The sequence below is a fragment of the Homo sapiens genome, chromosome 1 (genome assembly GCF_000001405.40).
Source record: "Homo sapiens chromosome 1, GRCh38.p14 Primary Assembly".
NCBI classification, from domain to species: Eukaryota; Metazoa; Chordata; class Mammalia; order Primates; family Hominidae; genus Homo; species Homo sapiens.
In genome coordinates, this window is record NC_000001.11 from 27,097,153 (window position 1) to 27,121,738 (window position 24,586).

At 54.4% G+C, this 24,586-nt stretch overlaps 1 protein-coding gene across 4 annotated transcripts in view, besides 13 other annotated features; it reads right to left on the reverse strand.

Annotated features, from left to right (window-relative positions):
* The window catches only part of SLC9A1 (solute carrier family 9 member A1), a 56,317-nt gene continuing 33,387 nt past the window's right edge, over nt 1,657-24,586 (reverse strand). For 2 of the 4 annotated variants that reach the window (XM_011542021.4, XM_047428769.1), the window contains 12 exons: nt 23,939-24,101; nt 16,674-17,134; nt 12,375-12,625; nt 10,496-10,713; nt 8,733-8,935; nt 6,071-6,160; nt 5,521-5,591; nt 5,233-5,406; nt 4,864-4,978; nt 4,573-4,674; nt 4,051-4,123; nt 1,657-3,492 (listed from right to left, as the gene is read on the reverse strand). In XM_011542021.4, coding sequence (XP_011540323.1) covers nt 3,155-3,492; nt 4,051-4,123; nt 4,573-4,674; nt 4,864-4,978; nt 5,233-5,406; nt 5,521-5,591; nt 6,071-6,160; nt 8,733-8,935; nt 10,496-10,713; nt 12,375-12,625; nt 16,674-17,134; nt 23,939-23,960 — 2,118 coding nt within the window. In that variant the 5' untranslated portion in view covers nt 23,961-24,101 and the 3' untranslated portion in view covers nt 1,657-3,154. The remainder of the gene's footprint in view (nt 3,493-4,050; nt 4,124-4,572; nt 4,675-4,863; nt 4,979-5,232; nt 5,407-5,520; nt 5,592-6,070; nt 6,161-8,732; nt 8,936-10,495; nt 10,714-12,374; nt 12,626-16,673; nt 17,135-23,938; nt 24,102-24,586) is intronic. The other 2 variants (NM_003047.5, NR_046474.2) reach the window with 2 other exon arrangements.
* Nucleotides 4,671-5,529: an enhancer, noted in NCBI's record as "H3K4me1 hESC enhancer chr1:27428314-27429172 (GRCh37/hg19 assembly coordinates)". NCBI's record gives its function as "activates a minimal SCP1, AML or CMV promoter by ChIP-STARR-seq in primed H9 embryonic stem cells {active_cell/tissue: H9 hESC(primed)}" and the evidence as "EXISTENCE:reporter gene assay evidence [ECO:0000049][PMID:30033119]".
* Nucleotides 5,530-6,388: an enhancer, noted in NCBI's record as "H3K4me1 hESC enhancer chr1:27429173-27430031 (GRCh37/hg19 assembly coordinates)". NCBI's record gives its function as "activates a minimal SCP1, AML or CMV promoter by ChIP-STARR-seq in primed H9 embryonic stem cells {active_cell/tissue: H9 hESC(primed)}" and the evidence as "EXISTENCE:reporter gene assay evidence [ECO:0000049][PMID:30033119]".
* Nucleotides 7,925-9,124: an enhancer, noted in NCBI's record as "MED14-independent group 3 enhancer chr1:27431568-27432767 (GRCh37/hg19 assembly coordinates)". NCBI's record gives its function as "activates an origin of replication core promoter dependent on BRD2, BRD4, P300/CBP and CDK7 cofactors, and independent of MED14, by STARR-seq in HCT116 cells {active_cell/tissue: HCT116}" and the evidence as "EXISTENCE:reporter gene assay evidence [ECO:0000049][PMID:35650434]".
* Nucleotides 12,921-13,125: a silencer, noted in NCBI's record as "fragment chr1:27436564-27436768 (GRCh37/hg19 assembly coordinates)". NCBI's record gives its function as "represses an EF-1alpha promoter that drives an FKBP-Casp9 reporter gene in an ReSE screen in HepG2 liver carcinoma cells {active_cell/tissue: HepG2}" and the evidence as "EXISTENCE:reporter gene assay evidence [ECO:0000049][PMID:32094911]".
* Nucleotides 14,793-14,872: an enhancer, noted in NCBI's record as "active region_536". NCBI's record gives its function as "activates an Ori minimal core promoter by ATAC-STARR-seq in GM12878 lymphoblastoid cells {active_cell/tissue: GM12878}" and the evidence as "EXISTENCE:reporter gene assay evidence [ECO:0000049][PMID:35858748]".
* Nucleotides 14,793-15,305: a biological region, named in NCBI's record as "H3K4me1 hESC enhancer GRCh37_chr1:27438447-27438948".
* Nucleotides 14,804-15,305: an enhancer, noted in NCBI's record as "H3K4me1 hESC enhancer chr1:27438447-27438948 (GRCh37/hg19 assembly coordinates)". NCBI's record gives its function as "activates a minimal SCP1, AML or CMV promoter by ChIP-STARR-seq in naive H9 embryonic stem cells {active_cell/tissue: H9 hESC(naive)}" and the evidence as "EXISTENCE:reporter gene assay evidence [ECO:0000049][PMID:30033119]".
* Nucleotides 15,213-15,282: an enhancer, noted in NCBI's record as "active region_537". NCBI's record gives its function as "activates an Ori minimal core promoter by ATAC-STARR-seq in GM12878 lymphoblastoid cells {active_cell/tissue: GM12878}" and the evidence as "EXISTENCE:reporter gene assay evidence [ECO:0000049][PMID:35858748]".
* Nucleotides 16,367-16,941: an enhancer, noted in NCBI's record as "H3K27ac-H3K4me1 hESC enhancer chr1:27440010-27440584 (GRCh37/hg19 assembly coordinates)". NCBI's record gives its function as "activates a minimal SCP1, AML or CMV promoter by ChIP-STARR-seq in naive H9 embryonic stem cells {active_cell/tissue: H9 hESC(naive)}" and the evidence as "EXISTENCE:reporter gene assay evidence [ECO:0000049][PMID:30033119]".
* Nucleotides 16,942-17,515: an enhancer, noted in NCBI's record as "H3K27ac-H3K4me1 hESC enhancer chr1:27440585-27441158 (GRCh37/hg19 assembly coordinates)". NCBI's record gives its function as "activates a minimal SCP1, AML or CMV promoter by ChIP-STARR-seq in naive H9 embryonic stem cells {active_cell/tissue: H9 hESC(naive)}" and the evidence as "EXISTENCE:reporter gene assay evidence [ECO:0000049][PMID:30033119]".
* Nucleotides 19,810-20,521: an enhancer, noted in NCBI's record as "H3K4me1 hESC enhancer chr1:27443453-27444164 (GRCh37/hg19 assembly coordinates)". NCBI's record gives its function as "activates a minimal SCP1, AML or CMV promoter by ChIP-STARR-seq in primed H9 embryonic stem cells {active_cell/tissue: H9 hESC(primed)}" and the evidence as "EXISTENCE:reporter gene assay evidence [ECO:0000049][PMID:30033119]".
* Nucleotides 21,232-21,942: an enhancer, noted in NCBI's record as "H3K27ac-H3K4me1 hESC enhancer chr1:27444875-27445585 (GRCh37/hg19 assembly coordinates)". NCBI's record gives its function as "activates a minimal SCP1, AML or CMV promoter by ChIP-STARR-seq in naive H9 embryonic stem cells {active_cell/tissue: H9 hESC(naive)}" and the evidence as "EXISTENCE:reporter gene assay evidence [ECO:0000049][PMID:30033119]".
* Nucleotides 21,943-22,652: an enhancer, noted in NCBI's record as "H3K4me1 hESC enhancer chr1:27445586-27446295 (GRCh37/hg19 assembly coordinates)". NCBI's record gives its function as "activates a minimal SCP1, AML or CMV promoter by ChIP-STARR-seq in naive H9 embryonic stem cells {active_cell/tissue: H9 hESC(naive)}" and the evidence as "EXISTENCE:reporter gene assay evidence [ECO:0000049][PMID:30033119]".

Here is a 24,586-nt window from a genome sequence, read left to right on the forward strand (position 1 = left end):
CTAGATTACAATGTAAATACTATGTAAATAGTTGTTACACTTTATTATTTGAATTTTTTCCCCAAATATTCTCAATTTGCAGTTGGTTGAATCCATGGATGCAGAATCCATGAAGGGCCAACAGCACTACACCATTTTACATCAGGAACTTGAGCATGAAAGGATTTTGGTTTCCATGTGGGTCCTGGAACCAATCCCCGGAAAATATGGAGGGATGGCTGTAACATCCATTTCCTGCTAGGGAACCGATGGATACAGGAATAATCCTTTGATAATAACCCTGTAATCCTCTTGGCACTAACCGCTTCAGATTTTGTGAGTTAAACCAGCTCCACACTCAGGTCCCAGACTGGGCAAAGGAGATGCTTTCCTGGACAGCCCAGGTTCGAAGGGTGCCAGGGGTGCGCGCCAAGGCCCCACTGCCCTCTGGTGGTTGGATCCAGGAAATGCACCTCAGGGCTCCAACCTCTGCTGAACCGAGCCCATTAGGGATTGAGCAATCCTTACCCCAAATGCTTGAAAGCAGAAGTGTTTCAGATTTTGGAATATTTGCACATACATAATGAGATATCTTGGGGATAGAATCCAAGTCTAAACACGAAATTCATTTATGTTTCATATACAGTTTCTACCCATAGCCTGAAATTAATGTTACATATTTTATTTTTTTTGAGACAGAGTCTTGCTCTGTCACCCAGGCTGGAGTGCAGTGGTTCCATCTCAGCTCACTGCAACCTTCACCTCCTGGGTTCAAGTGATTCTCCTGCCTCAACCTCCCGAGTAGCTGGGATTACATGCATACATCACCATGCCCAGCTAATTTTTGTATTTTTAGTAGAGATGGGGTTTTGCCATGTTGGCCAGGCTGGTCTTGAACTCCTGACCTCAGGTGATCCGCCCAGCTTGGCCTCCCAAAGTGCTGGGATTACAGGCATGAGCCACCGCGCCCGGCCCAATTTTATATATTTTAAATATTGCACATGCAGCAAAGTTTTGACTGTCTCATGAGGTCAGGTGTGCATTCTCCATTCATGGCGTTGTGTTGGGTTTTCTGATTAGGGAGGCTCAGTTTGTACACACCTGAGCTTATCTCATGCAGGGGTCACTGTCCCCACTTTACAGGTGAGAACTTGAGGGCTTCAGTGACTTCCCACTGCCCTTTTGGTCTTCCCACGGTTAAGAGCAAAATCTTAACCATGGAGCACGCGGCCCCATCCTTGCCTCCCCTGTCACTCTGACCCAGCCACCCGGCCTTTTCTCAGGTCCCAGTGTTCGTGGGCACAGCTCCCAGTTACAATGTTTGGGAACTTTCTGGGTCCTTTTCCACCCGGAAGCCTTGGCTCCTTCTTCAGTCCCCTCCTGGGATCTCACTCACTCGGGACTCAGGAGGGTCCTCCTCGCCGTCCCTCCCTCCCCTCTGCCTCTTTTTCACCTCTTGCACAAACACTGGGCACTGGTTAGTGCCGCTCTCCCCCGCGGGGCAGGGCACGTCCTGCTTAGCTCATTGTGGTATCTCAGTGCCTGGCATGTGGGAACAACCACCCCAGCAGCTGACAGCCATGAAGTGTTTCTGTGCCAGCCTTTGAACTAAGTACTTCACGCCCTCAGGCCACCCTCCCTCCTAAAGACCCTCGTCCCCAGAAAGCAGCCCTTGACTCTATTAAAAACTCACATTGATTTATTAGAATATGAAAAAGATTCAGTTTCTTCTGTACAGGCAGCAGAGTGGCAGCAGCTGCGGTGGCTTGGTACGTGGTTGTCGATGTCACCCTTGCATGGTGACTCCTGCCCAAACAGCACTTGCATGGAGAGGAGGATGGACAGATGGGCCGAGGACCCATGGCCCAGTCCCCTGCAAAAAGGGACACTCTGACTATTGCACAATCCTGGGGGAGTGCCCCAGGGACAAGGGGAAGGAGTGTGTGTGGGCAAAGGTCTCTGGGGGCCCAGGATTCTGCCCAATCCACCAGCCCCAGGGGACAGGGGATCCTCAGGGGAGGCCTTCTCCCCCCCACCGCCTCCACAATGGGCTCCACAGCAGGCAGGGTGTGGTACACACAAGGGAAAGGTTCCAGGGGCCAAACCCAGGGTGGGGGAAGTAAGAGCAGGCCAGCAGGACTGGAGGTCAGGCCCAAGAGCTAGGCAGGTGCCAAGAGGCCAGCATCTGTGAGGCTGGAGAGACTCTTGATTAGGAGTGGGAGTTACTTCTGATGTCACAGTCTTCGAGCAACAGTTAAGAGCCCAGCAGGCAGAGAGACGTGGGGGAGGGGTTGGACAGACAGGCACAGATGAGGAAGGGTAATTCTGGAGTGTGAGGAGGGAGTTAGAGGCAGAGCACTGTTCAGCCAGGGGTTTTCAAAATGTTTTAAAAACAGGAGCGCCCTCTGTGCAAACAATCATATATAGGAGTGTGAACAAACAAAACTTAAAAAGGCAGCACATTCTGGAGCCACGGCCAGTCCTTCCCCTAGCAGCTTCCCCTGAGGGGCCCAGTGGTCCCCGTGGGAGCACAGTTCGAAAAGCTCTGAGTCACGTCACTGTCACCGTAGAAACCACCCCTGCTCCAGGCAGAGACACTCAGAGATGCCCTCAGCCCGCAGCTCTGAGTAAGGACAGGTTGGGTGGTGGCCAGGGTGACAGAGCTGGCAGGAGGAGTGTGAGACCTTGGTGGGTCAGCAGTCCCTCCCCCAGCCATGTGCCTGGTACCCCTGGTTTGTCCCCTGATAAAGCAGGGCCTACTCAAGGGAGGCCTCAGCTCCCTCCCTTCCTGGGTGGGACCACAGCTGAGCCAGAGACTCTTTGGTTAGAAACTAAGATTGGTCTGAATGAGGAGGAGGATGAGGCAGAGGGAGGAGCCTCCGAGGCCCTAGTCCAGGTCCGGGAGAAGCCTGGATCTAGGGAGGGGCAGGGCCGGCCTCACCAGCCCCAGCAGTTCTGCCAAATGGATTGGGGAGGCAGCTCTGGTGGGGAGGATGCTTCCCGGGAGGCGGCAGGGGAGGAGCTGTGCTGGGGTGGGGGCTGTGGGCCCAGCTGCCATGCGGTAGGGGGAGGGGCAGGGCCAATCCGGGTCAGGAAGGGCAAGGGGAGCCCCCAGCAGCCCCTGCTCTGGTGGAAGAGTCTGTGAGGGGACAGGCGCTGCCTGCTGGCCCTGGTGTTACTGCCCCTTGGGGAAGAACGGTTCTCCCTCCCCAGGCTCAGGGTGTGGGCCTGGGTCACTGAGGCAGCGCTGTATCCTCTGGGAGCTGGGGCTGTCACTGGGCGCGGGGGTGAAGACATCGTCGGTTCCTGGGGACGAAGTCTCCTTGCTCCGCATCATGATGCCCCCATCGTCGTCCTCGTCCTCCTCAGCCACCTTTGCAGGATCCCGGCTCAACCCTAAGACTTTGCCCTTCAGCTCTTCATTCACCAGGTCCACAGACTCGGGTGACTGCGGGGAAGCCGGGTCGATGGTGATGACAGGCAGGTCCTCCTTCGGCTCATAGGCCAGTGGGTCTGGGGACCAAGAGCAAGGCACAAGCTGGGTTCCGCTCTGGAGCCCGGCCCAGCACGTGCCACTCGGCCGCGTCAGTGCCTCCTTCAGGCCTTCTCATGAGCACAGCCGTCCCGGTCCCAACAGGCCTCAGAAGCAGGCCTCTGCGACCTTCCACCCCACAGCTTCTCTTCCTCAGACTGTGGCCCTCTCCTTTGACAGGGGCTCCCAGAGGTGTCCCTCCACAGGCCAAGGCCTGGGGCTCCTCCCTGAGTCAGTCTGCCCTGGGGCCCTGCCCTCACGTTCCCCACACGTGTTGGGGGTCTCGATGGGGCAGATACCCTGCCTTCCTGCCAGGCACCGTGGCTCTCCCAGCTCCCCACACAGTCCTCGCCCGGAACGTCTCTCTCCCTAGGGATGGCCCCTGACGTAGAAGCAGCTCATGGCTTGGGAGGGGATCCTGAGGTCAGCGAGGGCCAGGCCTGTCCTCCCAGTGGCTGAGGACTGTTCCTGTGGAGCCCCATCCTCAGGAGGTGGCAGCTCAGAGTGCCCAGTCCTGAGGCCCCTCGCCAGGCCCTTACCTGAGCCGATGCGGGCCCGAGACATGGTGGGTGAGTCCAGCTTGTGGGCTGGCACCGTCAGGTAGTTGTTGATCTGACAGAGAGGACAGACGGGGTGAGCACAGGCAGCTGGGCAGAGGGAGCCCCTCAGGACAGAACCCGGCCAGTGCACACCCCACCTTTCGTATATGCAGGGCGCTTGCTCCCCCTCCCTTGTGCCTGTGTGGGCACCCGTACTGGCCCCTCAGGAGCTCCTAAGGGCTCATCCCAGGCTCCTGTCACAGCCTCCCTGAATACACCTACACTGCTCAGCCTTAAATCCACCCATTCCTCTGTCCCCTGCCACTGCCCTAACCCAGGCCATGCCCCACAACCCCACGCCAATCCCTTGCTTAGAACTCATGGCTCTCCATGCCCTTACACTGCTAAAAGCCCCTCGAAAGCCAAACCCTGTTCCTAGAATGGGTACATTTCCTTAGAGGCTGTGGCGGAGCTTGGGCGAGTGGGGTGGGATACAGATTCCCAGAGGAAGGCAGAGGCTACCTTCTGCTCCAGCTGCCGGGCCTTCTGCCTCCGGAGCAGCATCTGGTTCCAGGCTTCCTCGTAGGGGTCTGCCACCAGCGTGTGTCTGTTGTAGGACCGCAGCTGTGGGAGGGACAGCGTCAGGGCAGTGCGGGCCCCGGAAGGCTCTGCTCATGGAGGGGTGGGGGCAGTGCTGGAGGCCGGGCCAGTCCTGGGGTGGGTGCCGAGGGGCACGGGCAGGGCAGGGCTGCCGTAGAGAGGGGCTGAAGGGCTCCTGTACCCTGGGGGTCGGGCTGGGGAGCAGGCCCTCACCCGCTGCCTGGTCTTCTGCAAGTTGTTCCTCAGGATTTTGCGGATCTCCTCCTCCTTGTCCTTGGACAGTGCTGGCAGGATGCGCTCGGAAGGCAGGGACTTGGGGTGGATGTTCCTGGGGCAATAGGGCATCGGTTAGGTCCCCAAGATTCTTGGGATCCTGGTGCCTCCCAGGTTTGGCCAGAAGGAAGTCACCCTAGGGATGACCCAGGTGGGCGCCAAAGCCTCAGGTCCTTGGTGCGAGCCCACAGCTCTCTTGTCCGCCCCAACAGGACAACAGAAGACCCCGCCCCCCAGGTGGCCACCTCCAACCGGGCTTGAGGGGCCGGTGTGTGGGAGCAGAAGCTGCCTGGTTGCCCCAGCACTCACTGCATGGAGACGGTGGAGACGGCAGAGGGGATCTTGCCCATGCCCCCGCTCTCCACCAGCTCGATGGCCTGCTTCATCTCCATCTTGTGGTAGAAGGCAATGAGCTGGGGCTCCTTGGAGCGCTCGCCAGCTATCAGACACTTCTTCACATATTTCTTATTAAACCGGTTGAGCCTGGTGGGAGGAGGAGGGAGACGGATGGCGCCAGCTTCCAGGAGTGGGGAGATGCCCAGGCCCAGGAGACCCTTGCCTGCCCCTCCCTGCCTGCCCACCAGGCCTGCCACCTACTTGTCCTTCCAGTGGTGGTGACCGTAGTGGCCACAGATGTCTTCGATGCCTGTCAGAAGGTGGTCCAGGAACTGAAAGGGGCCCAGGGCCAAGTCAAGCCTCGCTGTGGGGCGCCTTCCCTACCAAGACCTCTGACTAGCCCCACTCCCTCCCGTAGCTGCAGCCCTGCTGGGTCCAGCCCTGTGGTTCCATGAGCAGCCAGGAGGTGGCGCCCACACTCCACTCATCGAACCCAGCGGCCCTGACTCTGGGTATCTCGAAGCCTTGCCTGTGTCCGGCTGAGCCCCCTTCTCTAATCCCACCTGGGACCTATGCCTGGGATAGGTTTCAAATGGAGGCAGAGATGGCATGATGCCCCCTCCTCAGGCTCCCAGCTGCTCACACCACACCTTCCTATGGCTAGACCCTGGCGGCCTCCTGGGGCAGAGGGAGCCCCTGGGCACTGGCACAGGGAGAAGGGGCTGATGGGGGGCAGAGACTTGAGGCCCAGCTGCTCCCTATCTCCCTGTTCCTCCTTCTGCAACCAAGGGCCCAGCCCGCACTCCAGTACCTGTGTGTGGATCTCTTCGTTGATGGAGCGCTTCGTCTCTTGCTTTTTCTTCACAGCCAACAGGTCTACCAGGGGCCGAATGGTCATGCCCTGGGGGGCAGGCAGGTGTCAGGCACTCCAGTTCTGCTACCCAGGCAGGGAGGCCACAGAGCCTCCCTCCCTCACCCCAGGCCCCCAAGGCTAGGATGCCCTCTCTGCTCTGCTCTCTCCCAGGACCCAAGGGTGTGAGAACTCTCCCACCTCCCAGCACTTATCTAAAGACAGGTCCTTAAGGCCTGCTTCTTCCTGGAGACACGGTCAGAGGTTTCACTGCCAAATGACCCCCACACTGGTCATCTGGCCTGGGCCAGGCAGCAGACAGCCTGGGTTCAGATGTGGACTGCACCACAGACTTGCTCTGCAACCCCATGGAAGTCAGGCCCCACACACAGGGAAAACTACCTCTGCACTGCCTCCCCACCAGGACTGTGAGGAGGACCGAGTAATAACAGCAGCAGCAGATGGAACTGCACACCTGCCATGTGACCAACACACGTGCTTGGAAGTGTTCTAGCATCAATCAGCTCTCCAATATCCGCAACACTAAGAGGGAGGTCCTTCCATTGTCTCTATTTAACAGATGCAGAAACTGAGGCTCAGAGAGGATAAGCAGCTTTCTAAGATCCCAGAGAAGCAGTAAAGCCATGATTTAAACCCAGGCAGGCTGGCTCTGGAGGGAGGCCCCCTCCCCAATGTTGCCTTCAATGAAAATGGGCTTGGAAAATCATTAGCACATACAACTGCAAAATCAAGGTAAAAAAAATTTTTTGAAGATGGAAGCAGGGCAAGAGGACAAAAGTGGCAGCCTCCTCCTCTTTTTTTTTTTTTTTTTTTTTTTGAGATGGAGTCTTGCTCTGTCACCCAGGCTGGAGTGCAGTGGTGCGATTTCAGCTCACTGCAACCTCCACCTCCCGGGTTCAAGTGATTCTCCTGCCTCAGCCTCCCAAGTAGCTGGGATTACAGGCGGCTGCCACCACGCCCAGCTAATTTTTGTATTTTTAGTAGAAACAGGGTTTCACCATGTTGGCCAGGCTGGTCTGGAACTCCTGACCTCAGGCGATCCGCCTGCCTCGGCCTCCCAAAGTGCTGGGATTACAGGCATGAGCCACCGCGCCCAGCCTCTCTCCTTTTTCTTAACTCGAGAGAGAGTCTCACTCTGTCACACAGGCTGGAGGAGTCACACAGGCTCAATCACAGCTCACAGCTGCCTCAATCTCCTGGGCTCAAGCTATCCTCCCACCTCAGCTTCTCAAGTACCTGGGACTTACAGGTGTGTACCACCATACCCACTAATTTTTTTTTTATTTTTTGTAGAGACAAGGTTGCCATGTTGCCTAGGCTGCTCTTGAACTACTGGGCTCAAGGGATCCTCCTGCCTCGGCCTCCCAAAGTCCTGGGATCATAGGCGTGAGCCACTGCACCAGGGTCCCCTCTCCCTTTAAAGGACAGAAAATAAGCCCAGCCCCAGGTTTCCCCTATTTTTTTTTCTCAAGAGAATGCAAAGATGTATCCCATCTAGGGCTTTTTGAGTATCAGTGCCCAGAAAAGACAGAAAGGATGGTAAAGAAATGGAGGCTCAGACAGAGTGTTTCTTATTTGCCCAAGGTCAGGCAAAGTCAGGTAAGGCAGAGCAATTTGCACCATCACAGGCTGGGCTTCCTTGGGGACCTTAGGCAGGAGAGTGGCTGTCAGCTAAGCCTGAGCCGTTTAAATGTACAGAAATCACTGAGCAGCAGGCTGGAAGGATTCTTGGGAATCATCTCGCCTGGTTCCCTCACTTTACAGATGGGAACTGAGACCCAGAGAAGAGTGGGGGTCTTTCTTAGGGTCAGAGGGACACCAACACAGAGCTAGGGCTGACTCCAGGCCTCCTGCTGCCTGGCTCATAGCCCTTTCCAGTTCCCCATGCTGTGATATTATTCCCATTTTACAGATGCAGAAACTGAGACCCTAAGATATGAAATCTCTTGCCTAAAGCCCTACAATGAGTTAGTAGCAAAGAGAGATCTTGGGCCTGTTGACTGTACCCACTTCTCTCTCTTTTTCTTTTTTTTTGAGATGGAATTTCACTCTTGTTACCCAGGCTGGAGTGCAATGGCGCAATCTCAGCTCACTGCAACCTCCACCTCCTGGGTTCAAGTGATTCTCCTGCCTCAGCCTCCCAAGTAGCTGGAATTACAGGTATGCATCACCATGCCCACTAATTTTGTATTTTTAGTAGAGACGGGGTTTCACCATGTTAGTCAGGCTGGTCTCAAACTCCTGACCTCAGGTGATCCACCCCCTCAGCCTCCCAAAGTGCTGGGATTACAGGCGTTGAGTCACCGTGCCCGGCCAGTACCCACTTCTCTTAATGCTCTATGAGTTCCAAATTAAGTTGGGCAGCATTCTGGTTCCTTTACATTCTGATCAGTCACTCTGCAATGACTCATCACAATTCTCACTTTACGATTGAAGAAACTGAGGCCCAGAAAGGGGGAGTGGCTCGCCCAAGGTCACACAGCAAGTTAGTGGTGGAGCTGGGACTAGAATCGCATTTCAAATCACACGCTTTCCTCTCTTTCCACGGGAACAGCCTGTGAGGGTCCCCAAGGCAAGGGCCTGCCCTGCCCTGGCCCAGCACCTGCACAAAGACGGTGAAGAAGATGACAGTGATGATGGCAGTGAGGAACAGGTCACACATGGGGAAGTGCTTCTTGTCCAGGAGGTAGCCCAGAGAGAAGGCGATGGCCCCTCGCAGGCCCCCATAGGCGATGATGAACTGGTCCTTGGGGGTCAGCTTCACGATACGGAACTTGTTGATGAACCAGGTCAGGCCCAGCACCCCTGCAGGGGAAGGCAGGGGGTGATGAGGGTCAGGTCGGGCTGTCCCCAGTCCCTCCTGGATTCTGCATCAGTGATTTCTCTGTGCATCCAGGAAGTCTCCATTACGAAGCCCACCCCGCTCACTCAATTCCTGGGTCCCTCAGCCCAGAGTGCTCTGAACTCCTCAATCCAAGAGCTGGGTGGATCCTTAAAGGACTTCCCCAACCTGGATGTGCTTTAGAGACATCATGGAGGCCTCCAGTGGCTGGAGGGCTGGGGGCAGGAAGAGGGAGAAAAGATCAAACAAGATGGGTCACAGGTCAATACTTGTTAAATGTGATGGGTGTGTGGGGGGTCATGATCCTATTCTCTCTACTTTTCTAAGTACTTGAAATTTTCCATAATAAAGCATAAAAAATGCAGAGGGCTGGGCCCAACCTCCACCCACAGAACCAGAATCCCTGGAGGATGAGGCTCAGGAATAAAGGGGATTTCAAAAGTGCACCAAATAAATGTGAGGTCCTGCCAGGCTTGGGGACATGGACCTAACCCTCAGAGAGGAAGTGAGAGATCCAGGGAGGAGGCGACTGAGGCACTGGGGTGAGGCATGTGGGGCACATGTGAGTGGAACCCATGCACCTGGGGCCTGGTCCCCACGTGTGCCCCGGCCTGCTGCATAGGTTTGGAGGACTGCACGTGGCTCTGCATGCGATTCGGCACATGCTCACGTCACCTGTCTTGAGACAGTGCAGAGAGCACTCAGCTCAGAGTCACAGACCTGGGTTCTGTGGGCCTCAGGCCCCTCATCAGGACAGCCACAGCCACAGGCTCAGAGTCTCAGGGCCCCCTCACTTTGACACAGCCTGACTCTGTCCCCAGAGACCACAGCCTTGCTGTGACACAGGCTTCTCCCTGCTGAAGGGCCCATCATGGAAATGGGAAGTCCCTCCTGTCTAGCTGTGCTGGGAGCAGGCAGGAGCCAACCAGGAAACCTCCACCACAAACTGCATCACACATATACCCCCAGCCCCTCCACACACACACACACACACCCAGGCCCTCTACACACACACACCCACACCCTCACAGCCCCTCCACACACACCCACACCCTCACAGCCCCTCCACACACACACACACACACCCAGCCCCTCTACACACACCCAACCCCTACACACACACCCAGCCCTTCCACATATACACCCAGCCCCTCCACACAACTATACACACACTGCACCACAGCCCAATCCCTCCACACAACACACACATATATACAAAGCCCTCCACACAACATACTACACACACACACCCCCAACCCCTCCACACACTACACACACACCATACACACATCCAGCCCCCCTACAATGCACTACACACACCACACACGCAATACGCATACACACACACACCACAGCCCAGCCCCTCCACACAATACTTATACACTGCACCACATGCACACACCACATAGCCTGGCCCTTCCACATAGTGCACTGCACACACCACACACACAGCACCACAGCCCACCACCCCCCACACACACCCCACACCACAACCCCCACCCCGCCCCAGCCCTGGCCCTCACCCAGCACGCGGGCGATGAGGCAGAAGAGCAGGGTGCTGATGACGAAGGTCCAGTTCCAGTGGTGGGAGCCGGCCACCGTGGAGACGCCGAGGAAGATGAAGATGAGGGTCTCGCTGACGCTGCTCCACATCTTCAGGAAGTATTTGATGGTGGTGTGGGACTTGTGGGAGATGTTGGCCTCCACATAGGGGCGCATCACCACTCCTGAGGCTATGAGCCTGGAGCAGGAAAGAGCGGGGTCAGGGCTCCGTGTCGAGCTGCACCTGCTCGAGCCCCTCCACTGCCAGGGGCAATGGGGCCACGACCAAGGTGCCCATGTCCCAAGCTCCTCTATGGGCCAGGGGCCCGCTGTGTGCTTTACACCCTCTTGCCACTCATCCTCACATCAACCCTATAGACACGGTGTATTCCTCCATTTTTTTTTTTTTTTTTTTTTTTGAGACGAGTCTCACTCTGTCACCCAGGCTGGAGAGCAGTGGCGCGATCTTGGCTCACTGCAACCTCCGCCTCCCGGGTTCAAGCAATTCTCTGCCTCAGCCTCCCGAGTGGCTGGGAATACAGGTGCCCGCCACCACGCCTGGCTAATTTTTTTGTATTTTTAGTAGAGACGGGGTTTCACCATCTTGGCCAGGCTGGTCTTGAACTCCTGACCTTGTAATCCACCCGCCTTGGCCTCCCAAAGTGCTGGGATTACAGGCGACGAGCGCATGCCCGGCCCTATTCCTCCATTTTTAAAATGAGTGATCTTGGCTGGGCACGGTGGCTCACGCCTGTAATCCCAGCACTTTGGGAGGCCGACAAAGGCGGATCACTTGAGGCCAGGTATTCGAGACCAGCTTGGCCAATGTAGTGAAATGCAGTCTCTTCTAAAAATACAAAAATTAGCCAGGTGTGGTGGTGGGCACCTGTAATCCCACCTAATTGAGAGGTTGAAGTGGGAGAATCTCGAACTCAGAGGCTGCAATGAGCTGAGATCGTGCCACTGCATTCCAGCCTGGGTGACAAGAGTGGGACCCCGTCTCAAATAAAAAAATGAGAGATCTGACTCTAAGAGAAATAGTCACCTCTCCCCTGTCACGCTGCCTGCAGGCAGCAAAGCCAAGACACACAAACCACAGTGTCCAACTCCAAAGCCTGCACCTTTGCCCCAAGGCCACACTGCCTCTTGACCCAATAGGAGTCAATGACACAGACCCATGGTCTCCTGGGTTCATTCCCCTCAAGCGTGGCATCTGCCATTACACAGGGGTCTCCACAGGGAGCTTTGTTCCAAGCAGCTGCTTGGAGCTCGGAGTCCTCCCAGCCCAGTGCTCACACCCGGGCTCTGCTCCTGGGAGCCAGGGGCTCTGAACCCCAGTTCTGCCTTGCTCGGCACTGGAACACCTTCACCCCTCACTGCCTCCCCACATCCCATTCTCCCCATTTCCAGACCCGGTGGAGACCTCAGGACCGCCAGGACTCAGGCCTGGTGAGCCTCCTACTGGGGCTGCTGAGGGGACTCCCTTTGAGACAATGAAGTAGCAGGGCTGTGGCTTTCCTCAACCTGAAGCTTAGTGGCTTCCAAGGCTCTGCTCTCCTATACCCTGGGCTTGCCTTCATGCAGGTCATTCTTGCTTCATCTGCTCATAGCCTGAAATGCCCTCTCCCGATTCCTGGACCCCAGGGGGCGCTGCAGAAGTGCTCCTCTTCTAGGAAGCCACTGATGCCCTTGGCCATTTAAATGGCTACCAAGCAGGTCTGGAGCCTGGAGTTCATGTCTCATCCCTGGAGCTCAAGGCTGGGCCCTGGGAGCTCCGTGAACCTACGAGCCTGGGGAATCCAAGCTGGCAGCCCCCGCCCCCACCCCGCCAAGCCCACTGCCTGCTGCACGCAGACTCACGCCATGATGCCTGACAGGTGGAAGAGCTCGGCTGACAAGTAGGCCATGTAGCTGTAGAGGAAGACGAAGAGCGGCTCGATGACCCGGATGTGGGAGGTAAATCGGGAGGTGAAGGCTGCGATGACCCCGTAGACCACGCCCACAAGCACCCCGCCCAGGGCCACCACGAAGAAGCTCAGGAAGCCGAGGAAGATGTCCACGATGCCCACGTGTTCGTAGTTGGCAAACTCCTCAAAGAGGTGATACAGGACCTGGGGAGGGTGTGCAGGCTGGTGGGTGGGAGGAGAGGGCCCTGGCCCCACGGTTCCCTGGGGTCCACCCAGGGCAATCCTGTCCCCTCCGTTAACCATGGCCACAAGAAGAGGCCACACGGTAGCAGAGAAACCCTAGTGCCAAGCAGGTGCTCAAAACCTCAGCCTGGGGCTGAGGGGCTTGCTCTGGGCCAGCCACGTGCCCCACTGGTGAAGGGTGGGCCCTGGGAAGCTCTGTGAAGACCCTGAAGCCAAACTGCCTGGACTGGAATCCTGGCTCTGCCACTCCTGAGTTGTGTACAGGAAGCAAATTCATCTCCCTGTGTTTCAGTTTTCCTGTCTATAAAATGAGGATAATAATACCAAATCTTAGGACTGCTGTGAGGACTAAATCAGCGAATCAAGTGCTCGGAGCCTTACCTGATGCAGTGTTAGCCACATCTGGTGCTATCAAGTCTGCCTCTCACTGCCTGACCTTGGGCACGTCATGCCCATCACTGGGTTTCAGTCCCTCCTTCAGCACAAAAAAGGGACGTTCACACAATGAACTAGAATGTCATTTCTTAACCTCTGGAGCTTTCTGAAAATACACATGTTCAGGCCATACTGGACTTGGACTCTCTGGGATAGGGCCAAGAAATCTCTATGTAACAAGCACCCCAGGGGTTGCAATGAACAGCCAAGTTCAGATGCTATGGAATTAGAGGCTAAGGCATCCCTGTCTCCTGGACTGGGAAATAGATGGTCATTGCAACACTACCATCAGATGTTTAAGTGGCACTTCATACACTGTAAAGCCCTTTGATAGTCTTTATCTGAGTCGACACTCAACAACCATGCGAGGCAGGTGGGTCAAGGATGCTCCTTTGCTAAACCGAGGCTCACAGTGGTAAAACAACACGCCAGGGGGCCCCCAGCCCAGGAGCAGAAGAACTGGGCCCAGAACTTATTCCCTGACAGCCATGGCTGAGGCCTCCCCAGCAGGCTCAGCTTTGAGGATCTGCCCCTCCTATTGCTAGGTCCCTGAGCTGCCTGGCCTACTCAAGTCTGTCCTAGACAGCTCTGCCAGGAAGGAGCAGGGAGTTTCCAGGCCTGGGGGAAGGGAGGGAAGGACGTGAGGATCCATGACAGGGAACCCTCCAAAGCCCCCAGGACCTGGAGCAGGAGGAATGGACCGTGAGGAGTGACCTGTCTAGGGCACAGACCTGAGACCAGGCAGCTCAGGGTCAGCCTCTGGCTTTACTCTCTGGGAAATGGGGCACTCACACCTATGCCAAGAGCTCCAGAAAGACCTGACTTGGGCCAGGCAGCAAGGGGAGATGCAGAGCACTGGCCAGGCCTGGTGCGGCCTGGCCCCAGCTGTCTGGGGGATAGGACAGGGCTCCAGCGGCAGACAGCCTCTTAGCAGGTGCGTACTCAGCCGTGGGCTAAACTCATTCCTGGCCTGAGGGGATTCATGGGTCCTCATGGTCTACCACATGGGCCCATGGAGTCGGCACAGAGGGGAAAGTCCTCCTTTCTGGCCTGGTGCTATTACCCCTGGAACTATAGAGAAACAGAGTAACACAGTGGTAAGCACTTGGGCTTTGGACTCAGACTACGGATTTGAACCTCAGCTATATCATATATCAGGCTTATGTAACCTCTCCGTTCCTCAGTTTCCTCATCGCAAAAAAACTGGAATATAACTGTGTCAACCTCATGGAGTTACTGTATAGATTAAATGAGGCAACATAGGCCAGACACAGTGGCTCACGCCTGTAATCTCAGCACTTTGGGAGGCCAAAGAGGGAGCATCGCTTGTGCCCGGGAGCTTGAGACCAGCCCAGGCAACATAATGAGACCCCATATCTACAAAATAAATAAATAAATAAATAAATAAATTAGCTGGGTGTGATGGCCAGCACCTGCAGTCCCAGCTACTTGGGAGGCTAAGAGGGGATGATCATTTGAGGAGTTTGAGGGTGCAGTGAGCTATGATTGTGCTACTGCACTCCTGAGTGACACTGTCTGTGTGACAGGAGACTCTGTCTCTAAATAAATAAATAAAAATGAGGCAATACACATTCAGACAGGAAGCACCCAATGAACACCAGCAATCACTACCACCGCTGCCACTGCCTTTGGGAGACATGACCATGGGTCCACAAATGGCTGGGTCTGTTACCTGCTTGATGCAACCATGCCCCAAGCTCCACAGCAGTGCTCACCTGAACCCCAACACCCAGATCCCACTGGAGAGGGCTTTATCTTTGGCACTCACTGGCTTCACAGACATTAGTGAGTATGACTCACTAATGTAAGTAATCCTGTAAGAAGCCTGGGAGGATGACAGGCTGAGTACTGCAATCCCTGTGTCACAGATGGGGAAACTCAGGCTCATGTGGTAACCCTGGGCAAGAGCTAGTGCTAGAGGAAGCCAGGATGGAGGCCTGCCTGCTCAGGTCAGGCTATTCTACCCAGCCCCATGAGGAGGCGTGGGAGGAACAGGAAGCTGAGGCTGCCAGCAGCTGAACACCACAGTCTGTCTCTACTCTGAGGTGCTGCTTCCTGAAGGCTGGGGCTGCAGAGGAGGGAGTCATGGCCTGGGAATGCACATGTGCCCTTGAGCTTTCCTGTGTGTGCAGCTGCTCTGAGCGGGACAGCTCAGGAGGGGGTGGGAGTGTTCTCACAACACAACGTGAGCATGCACATGCACACATCTGTTTCCCAAGGAAACCAGCTGGGAGGAAGGGCATGTGCAGGTGTATATGGTGCTACCACGTGCAGACCCTGGAGGAAAGCACTAATCCTCTGCCACTTTGCAGCTATCAAAGGTGAGGCTGGCTGGGCGCAGTGGCTCATGCCTGTAATCCCAGCACTTTGGGAGGCTGAGGTGGGCGGATCACCTGAGGTCAGGAGTTCGAGATTAGCCTGGCCAACATGGCGAAACCCAGTCTCTACTAAAAACACAAAAATTAGCTGGGCATGGTGACACACGCCTGTAATCCCAGCTACTTGGGAGGCTGAGGCAGGAGAATTGCTTGAACCTGGGAGGCGGAGGTTGCAGTGAGCTGAGCTTGCGTCACTGCACTCCTGTCTGGGAGACAGAGCAAGACTCCATCTCAAAAAAAAAAAAAAAAAAAAAAGGTGAGGGCCACAGAGGTATAGCATTTGCTTAAGGTCACACAGCAAGCAAGTGGCCAACTTCTTTTACTTATCACCTTCTAGATGTTTTGGAGACAAGGCCCCTTTCCATAATCTCCGCCCAAAAACTGTGCACAAACCGAATTCTAACTTAAGATATAGCCAACATGAGAGCTGAAAGGCCCCTCACAGATGATATGGTCTGTGAAGAGGGAACTGAGGCACAGAGAGTGTAAGTAATTTGCCCAAGCTCACATCAAAATGCAAGAGAAGGGCCAGGCTTGTTGGCTTAGGTCTGTAATCTCAGCACTTTGGGAGGCCGAGGCAGGAGGATGGTTTGAGGCCAAGAGTTCAAGACCAGCCTGGGCAACATGGTCAAACCCCATCTCCACAAAAAATTTAAAAAATTAGCCGGGTGTGGTGGTGCATGCCTGTAGTCCTAGCCACTCGGAAGGCTGAGGCAGGAGGATCTCAGGCCCAGGTATTTGAGGCTGCAGTGAGTTATGACCGTACCAGTTCACCAGCCTAGAAGACAGGGCAAGACCCTGTCTCTTAAAAAACAAAAAGCAAGTCAAGTCAAGGAGGGAGCATATAACCTAGCAAAACCAAGAGCTTAGGCCCTGGAGTCAGTCAGACCTGGTTCAATCACAAACTGGTTCATACTCCAACAGGTTATTTAACTTCTTTGGGCCTGTGTCTCCCCTGGAAAATGAGAATAATAAGCACCTCTTAAGGCAGCCATGAGGACTTAAATGAGATAATCCATGCCGAAGGGCTCAGCATGGTGCCTGGCATACGGGAAGCGGGAATGTGCCTCAGCTGTTTTTATTACTGTTATTAGCGGGTGGATGAGGGATTCACTGGTGGGCCTGGATTTGGGTTTGTACCGTTTGGACATGGGCATGGCCCCTGGCCTCCTCACCACAGTGACGGCGTCATTGAGCAAGGACTCCCCAAAAACAAGGATGTGCAGCAGCTCATTGATGTGAATTTCCTCAAAGACAGCCAGAACCGCCACGGGGTCCACGGCCGAGATGATGCTGCCGAAGAGCAGGTTGTCCAGGAGGCCGATGTTGTTGATCTGCTCACCGCCCACCAGGCACACGGCGTACATGAGGCCGCCCAGGAAGAAGGCGTTCCACAGCGTGCCCACCACGGCAAAGATCAGGATGGTGCCCAGGTTTTCTGTGAACTGCCGCAGTGGCAGGAAGTAGCCCGCATCCAGGATGATGGGCGGCAGCAGGAAGAGGAAGAAGACGTCGGACTGCAGGAAGGGGGGTGTCTCGCCTACACCCTTGATCAGGCCCCCCACCAGCAGCCCCACCACGATCAGCAGGCAGCTCTCCGGGACGATGCTTGAGATAGTGGGGATCACATGGAAACCTGCGGAGGGCGAGAGAACGGGAGGCCATGGGCTTTCGGAGGAGCCAGGAGAATAGAAGGTTGGGGATGGGCCGGGGATGAGGAGCGCAGTTGGTGAGAGGTGCACAGGCTGGGTCTCAGAGGGCTGCTCTGTTAACTCTCTGAGCCTCCGCTTCCTCGCCTGTAAAATGGAAGGGACAATGCTAGCTTCACAGGTTTGCCATCATAAACCAAGTGACAGTGTTTTTAAAGCACTTTTTTCAAAGGATATATACATGCTATCTCTGTCACTGTCATAAAATGTTAGAAAGCAGCAGTTCTATATGCTTCCAGAAGGCAGAAATTATAAATTGATTACTGACGTGCCAAGTACCTACGGGCATCACCTACGCCTGAACCCAAGGCATTATTCCAGGCACAAGTTCAGGGAGGCAGATCTGAGCTCAACCTGAGGAATAACAATCTAACAATTCTGTCTGAGGGAAGATGGTAGTTCCCTATCACGGAGCTGTTTAAGCAGAAGGCAGACAACCAGCTGGTGGGGAGTGGCATAGGAGACAGAAGAAAGCACAGAAGAATCTAAGAATACCAGCGTGGGAAGGAACTTGGGGATAATAAGGCCTGGGGTCTGCAAACCTGCAAAACAGTAGGCTTTCCTACTGAGTCCAGGCAGCTGCTCAAGACACGGCTCAAGGATGTCAGTGGCAACCAGCTTTGGCAGGTGAGATAAAATCTATTTGCTATCCCGCTTCTAGCTCAATGCCACCCACTTTAAAGATGGGGCAACTAAGGCTCAGAAAAGGGAAGGGACTTGCCCAAAGTCACACAGCAAGTGGGGAGCAGAACTAGAATAGAACACAGGTCTGATGCCCCAGTTCCCATCAAACTGCACAGTTCTGTAATTCAAGCTCTCCTATCCTTCCCTCCCATCAAGGCCTCCTCACACACCCCTCTGCCTGGGACCCACCAGCCATCTCCCCAGGCCGTGTCCTGGCCAGCAACAGGCCGCTCTGCTGTAGTCCACCTTAAGGCTTCAAACCCAGAGCTGAGGAGTAGCAAAAATCCCCGTTGAGAGGGCCTCTCTCAATATCAGGTATGGCCAGAGAACCCTGAGCTCCTGTGAGTGGTTTACTTGTTTGTTTTGTTTTGGGGTGGGAAAGTAGGTGGAAAAAAATCTGAGCATCTAGTTGTATGTTGGGTACTATGCTCCCAGGGTTGGCATAGCCAAGAGGGTTTGTCCCTTTGCTCAAGAGGAAAGCTCTCTCTGGCCTGGCATGGTGGCTCATGCCTGTATCCCAGCATTTTAGGAGGCTGAGGTGGGAGGAACACTTGAGGCCAATAATTTGACACCAGCTTGTACAACATAGGAGACCTCATCTCCACTTAAAAAAAATAGCTGGGCATGGTATGCACCTGTAGTCTCAGCTAGTTAGGAGGGCCGAGGCAGGAAGATCACTTGAGCCCAGCCTCAAAAAAAAAAAAGAAAGAAGAAAGCAAAGCTCTCTCTCCTCCCCTTCCCTATCTTGCAAGCTCTGTGCAGGCAGATCCCATAACTGCTTATCATTATACACCCAGGGCTAGGACACAAGAAGTGCTCAACAAATATCAGCTGACTTGAAAATACACAGGGCTGGGACATCACCCAAGATTTCCGATAACCTGCATGCCTGGCCAGGCCTCTGCTCTCATTACTTACTCTTGAGATCCTTGGGACAGAGGAGGAACTTCCCTCTCCATGCCCAAAGCCCTTCCTACTCTCAGGTAGGAATCTGGGCAGTGCTAGTACGGTGACAAGTCAAAGTTCACACTGCTGGCTGGGCACGGTAGCTCACGCCTGTAATCCCAGCACTTTGGGAGGCCGAGGTGGGTGGATCACCTGAGGTCAGGAATTCAAGACCAGCCTGACCAATATGGTGAAACCCTGTCTCTACTAAAAATATAAAAATTGGCCAGGCGTGGTGGTGGGTGCTTGTATTCCCAGCTACTTGGGAGGCTGAGACAGGAGAATTGCTTGAACACAGGAGGTAGAAGTTGCAGTGAGCCGAGATCACGCCACTGAGCTCCAGCCAAGATCACTCCACTGCACTCCAGCCTGGGCAACAGAGCAAGACTCCATCTTGAAAAAAAAAAGTTCACACACTGAACACTATCCAGGCCCAGAATCCTGGCACAGTGCCAAGCACCCTGAAGACACTCAAAACACATTGGGAAAAAAAGATGTCTCCATCCTAGGCCAAGAGGACCTCGAAGGCACCATGTGCATTCTCCTGATTTCAAAATAGACATGACCAAAAGTCACTTTTTGTTCATCTACTTCCCACATCAATAAAAGGGAAAATAATTCCAAAATCACCCCTTTTGCTGAAAAGTCCCCCAGTCTTTGTACTGTCCACCAGTCAACATCCAGTGTGTAGCTGGCTGGTCCACTGGGAAGGGCTAGTCATGTTGGACCCAAGTCTCTCTTGCTGTAGAGGATAAAGCCCACATTTTCAGCACTGCCTCTGTCATCTGCTCTTGCCTCATGTCCCATTCTCCCCACTGTCAACTCTTAGGTTTCAGCCTTGCCAAATTCCTTGCAATTGCCCCATATGAGCCACATCCTCTTTTGCCTGCCAATCTTCACCTAGTCTAGTTCCTCTCTCTAGAAATCATTCCTCTACCTCTACCCCCACCATATGTGGCTGACACCATATCCTCTGCCTGCCTCCTCCTTCAGGAAGCATTCCCTGACCACCACCTGTCTGCTCAGGTTAGGGCAGGAATCTTCTGGTGCTTCCCTCTCTCATAACCTTCAATCCACAGTCATCTCCCAGGTTCCTCTCTCTCTTCCTGGCACCCACCGAGATCAGTCAGACAACCCAGGCAGAAGCAGCTGAGACAAGACAATGGCATCAGACCCCAAAGACCTGCAGTGTGCTGGAGGGGAGACAGGCACAGCGCAGCGGAGATAAGCAGGATGAAGATTTAGGGGAGCAGAGCTCCTACAGGCAGGGGCCAGAAAGCACCTTCCCAAGGCCGGAAGTCCAGCTCCAGCCAGCTGCATGCTGACCCCCCTCCACAGCCTCCCTGCCCCTGTCCTGGCGTTAGCACCAAGAGCTGCCTTAAGAGAAGGCAGAGTCTAAAGAGATAGTCCAGGGTAGGCAGATGATGGCTTCCACCTCCACCTAAGGGGTCGGGCTCTAAAAATGCCTCCTACCCTCACTCTGTGCCATCAACCCAATCCACAGAGCTTTCCTGGCCCCATAAATCGCCAGACAGTGCCTGGGAGACCCAGAGAAGAGTTGGCCACAGCTCCTGCCTGGGGAGGGGGCAGGCATGTGAAACAAGCCAAGAACAGCAACATGAAGACGGCTCCTCAGGTCTGAGGGCGTCCCATGAGCCAGAACTGTGCTGGGAGCCTGGCACGCACCATCTCATTCAGTCCTCACCACAGCCCTTGGGATAGGTATTGCCTCCATTTTGCAGAAGACAAAGCTGAGGCTCAGCAAGGTTATGCCACTCCCCTAGTGTCTAAGGGAGGACCTCTATTCTAGCTTAGGTGTCTCAAACCGGTAGCAGAGAGCGCTAATTAATTCTTTAGTCAAAGCTCGGTATTTTCTCTGAGCCAGGCCATATGGGACACTGGGAACATTGAGGTGACTCAGACTCTGAACCTCCGTGAGCAGCTGATGGGGAGGGCCATGCTATTCCAGCCCTTGGAGCTTCTATGACCAGGTGAACAGAGAGCTGGCATTCCTATTGAACACAAGAAAAACGAGCTCTGAGAGGAGGCTGCATGCACTCAGCCAGGCCAACCAGGACTGGGTCCCGGGCCTCCTGACTACAGCACAGCGACCTCCTTCTCCTTCAGCCAGCTCCAGAGTACCTGGGGCTGGAGCCATGTTCCTGGAGCTGGTTTCCCTGGCTTTCCTGTTTTGTCTCTGGCGCTCAGTGAGCTGAAGGAGCTCTAGGCCCTGATGGGCTCTCTGGGCCTGAGGGGAGGGCCGGGCCGGGCCAGGCTGAGGAGAAAGGTCTGAGATCCACTTTTGGCTCCCTGCCTGTGGGTAGGTGGCACATTATTGGAAAGCACTTCTAGGGCTGGGGGAGGAAGGGATTCTGTCATCAAGAGGAGGCTCCTTCAGGAGCAACGGCTCAGGGAAGTGGGAAGCAGCCCCTGGACCTGCGCTGGCTTGTCCCTCTCCTAACGCCCTGACTCCACCAACTGCGCTCACTCTGCATCCCTGCAGAGTCCCCACAAAGAGCAGGATGCTTGCTGACACCCGGTGTGGTGAAAGGGGCACAGAAGGATGGCTGCGGCCCCTGGTACCCTGACAAAAGCCCTGCATGGAGGCAAGATCCCAGGATGCCAAGAGATGAGGCAAAACTTTCAGGGCCCAAACATGCAGCAGCAGTGATGTCACCAGGGTGAAATCAGGGATGGGAAGAGGCAGTTAGAGTAAGAACCAGAGTCGTAAGAGCTGGAATGGATCTTGGAGAGCATCTAAATTCTCCATTATATAGTCAGGGAAATGGAGACAGAGACAGCCAGTGACCTGTCAATGATCACATGTCCAGTTCTACCCCAGCAGTCTGTGACACTCCAAGCCACACAGCCTTCTTCGAGGACGTCCAGTCCTCCCAGAACAAGGAGGCACGAAAGTGTGGAATTCAACATCTCCAAGCACAGCCACAGGCCAAACCCTCTGACACAGTTCAGAGTTGGCGCTCCTTTTAGAAGAGGCTGGGGGATGGGAGAAGTGTTTTTCATTCTATCTAGTGTAGGTGGTAGCTGGAACGAACACACACACACACACACACACACACACACACACACACACACACTCTTGCTGAGCAGACACCTCACCAAACTTCCAATTGATGGAGGCTCCCAGCCCCCTGCGGCTGCTCTGCACCACAAGAATGTTTTATTTATATCTCCTCGGACGGTCCCCATCTGTTGAGACTGGCTCAGTGGAGCAGGCAAGGCTGTCCGACATCACCCTGGGTTGCCAGGGTGACCAGACATGCCTGATCCCCCTTCCCGCAACCCTCCTCTGGCCTGGGAAGTCAGAGGGGAGTGCTGGGAAGAGGGGTCTCTTTGGCCCATAGTGCCAGGTCACCAGGGACCCAGGGGCACACTGAGGGCTCTGTCGCCCTACTTCCAGGCCTGAGGACTGCTCTGGGGCTGCAACTCGGCCAGGTCCCAAGGGATTCCTAGTTGCACAATGATTCCATTTCTTTAACTCCCTCTTCAACTGCCCCAGCAACCAGTCTCAACTGCAGCAATGAAAGGTAATACTTCCCAATGAAAGCCCAGCACTCTACAGTTTACAGCGGCACACTCTTAACCCATTTGCTCTCCACCATAGTTCTGGGAAGTCACAATTACCATCCCCTTATTTTACAGATGAGGAAACTGAAGCACACAAAGGTTAAGCAACTTGATCAAAGTCACATGGCTGGTAACTGGGATTCAAACCCAGGTAGTCTGGCTCCAGAGTCTGTGTTCTTGGCCACTCACTGTATTATCCCTGGCTTTATTCTTACTTTGTTTCTAAGGGGCGTGTGAGCCTAGGACTAAAGAGGCCCAAAGCAGTTCCCAAAGGGCCAGCGGTAGGTTTTTCTTTCCATGAGCTCTTCTCCAGGAAGTCTCCCACTGCTTCTACTCTAGTGGCCTAGTAAAGACTTCATGAAATCCTTCCTATCTTCAAAGGCTGCCCTCTCCAGGAAGCTCTCCTAAGTTAACTCAGCCAGGAGGGGAAGGTTGCAGTGAGCCAAGATTGCACCACTGCACTCCAGCCTGGTGACAGAGCAAGACTCCACCTCAAAAAAAAAAAGTATTATTCATTGAGTTTCTGCTGTGGGGATGGGAGGTTTTTTTTGTTTTGTTTTGTTTTGTTTTGTTTTGGGGGGGCGGAGTCTCACTCTTGTTGTACAGTGGCGCGATTTCGGCTCACTACAGCGTCTGCCTCCCGGGTTCAAGTGATTCTCCTGCCTTAACCTCTCCAGGGGCTGGGATTACAGGCACCCACCATGGCGCCTGGCTAATTTTTGTATTTTTAATAGAGGAGGGGTTTCGCCATGTTGGCCAGGCTGGTCTCAAACTCCTGACCTCAGGTGATCCACCCACCTTAGCCTCCCAAAGTGCTGAGATTACAGGCGTGAGCCACCGCACCTGGCCAAATAATACTTTTTTTAAAATGTAGCAGCCAGCTGGGGGTGGCAGCTCACGTCTGTAATCCCATCACTTTGGGAGGCCGAGGCGGGTGGATCACCTGAGGTCAGGAGTTCTAGACCACAGTGACCAACATGGCGAAACCTCGTCTCTACGAAAAATACAAAAATTAGCCAGGTGTGGTGGCAGGCGCCTCTAATCACAGCTACTCAGGAGGCTGAGGCAGGAGAATCACTTGAACCTGTTAGGCAGAGGTTGCAGTGAGCCGAGATCACACCATGGCACTCCAGCCTGGGCAATAGAGCAAAATTCCATTTCAAAAAAAAAAGATAAACTCTCCAGCACCCAGGAGACAAACACTGGACACTTGGAGAATCTGATGCAAGGCTCTGTGCAGGGGGCTTATACACACCCCCTCTCATTTCATCTCACATCCTGACCCCCAATTTGACAGATGAAGAAATCCAGGTTCAGAGAGGTAACTTGTCCAAGGCTACCTAGCTGGGAAGTGGCAGGGTCATTATTAGAACCCAGTTCTCTGAACTGCTAGTTCTTTGGGCCATGCTGCTTCAAAGAAAACAGCTTGTCAGGATCACCAGGAAGAGAATTCAAGTCTGCAATAAATATGCCTCCCCCACAAAAACAGCCATAAATAAATCTGTTCCAAGTACCTGGGCAAGCATCCTTCCCCATACCCGGGCAATCAGTCTCTCTCTGTGTTTTTCCCCATCATTCTTCCAAACAGCACTTCTATTTCTTGCTTGTTTCAATCCACATTTCAGGGGGTCCTACTATGTTGGAGAGAAAGGGTCTCACCCTCTGGGAACATCAGGTCTGGATGGGAAAGCAGGTAAAAAGCTGTCAGAAAACACAAGCAGCATACACTGGACTATCTGAGTCATGGAAAAGAGAAGACCGTGCAAGGAGGCCAAAACCCCAGGTCCAGACCCCACTCTGCCCTTTAGTAACCATGAGCTTTGCGTAAATCACTATACCATGGAATAACCTCCATTTTCTTGTCTGTAAACAAGTGAGAACAGGGACTAGACACAGGAGCACCTTGTGCACTGAAACGACTGAGAAAAGAGAGGTCAGGCAGGCTGGGGGGCCTGGGCGGCCCCTGGAGTAATAAGCAGCGATTGAGCCAGCAGCAACTGCCTTAGAGACCTGGCAAGAGAGGCTGTTCCGGAGGCAGGCATGTTGTGATAGAGGATCACAGCCTCAGCAACCCTGGCACTGGGTTACAAATCCCTCACAATGCATAGCCTCTCCCTCTCTCCTTCCTTTCTCCTCTCACCTGTCCCATCTACATCAACTCC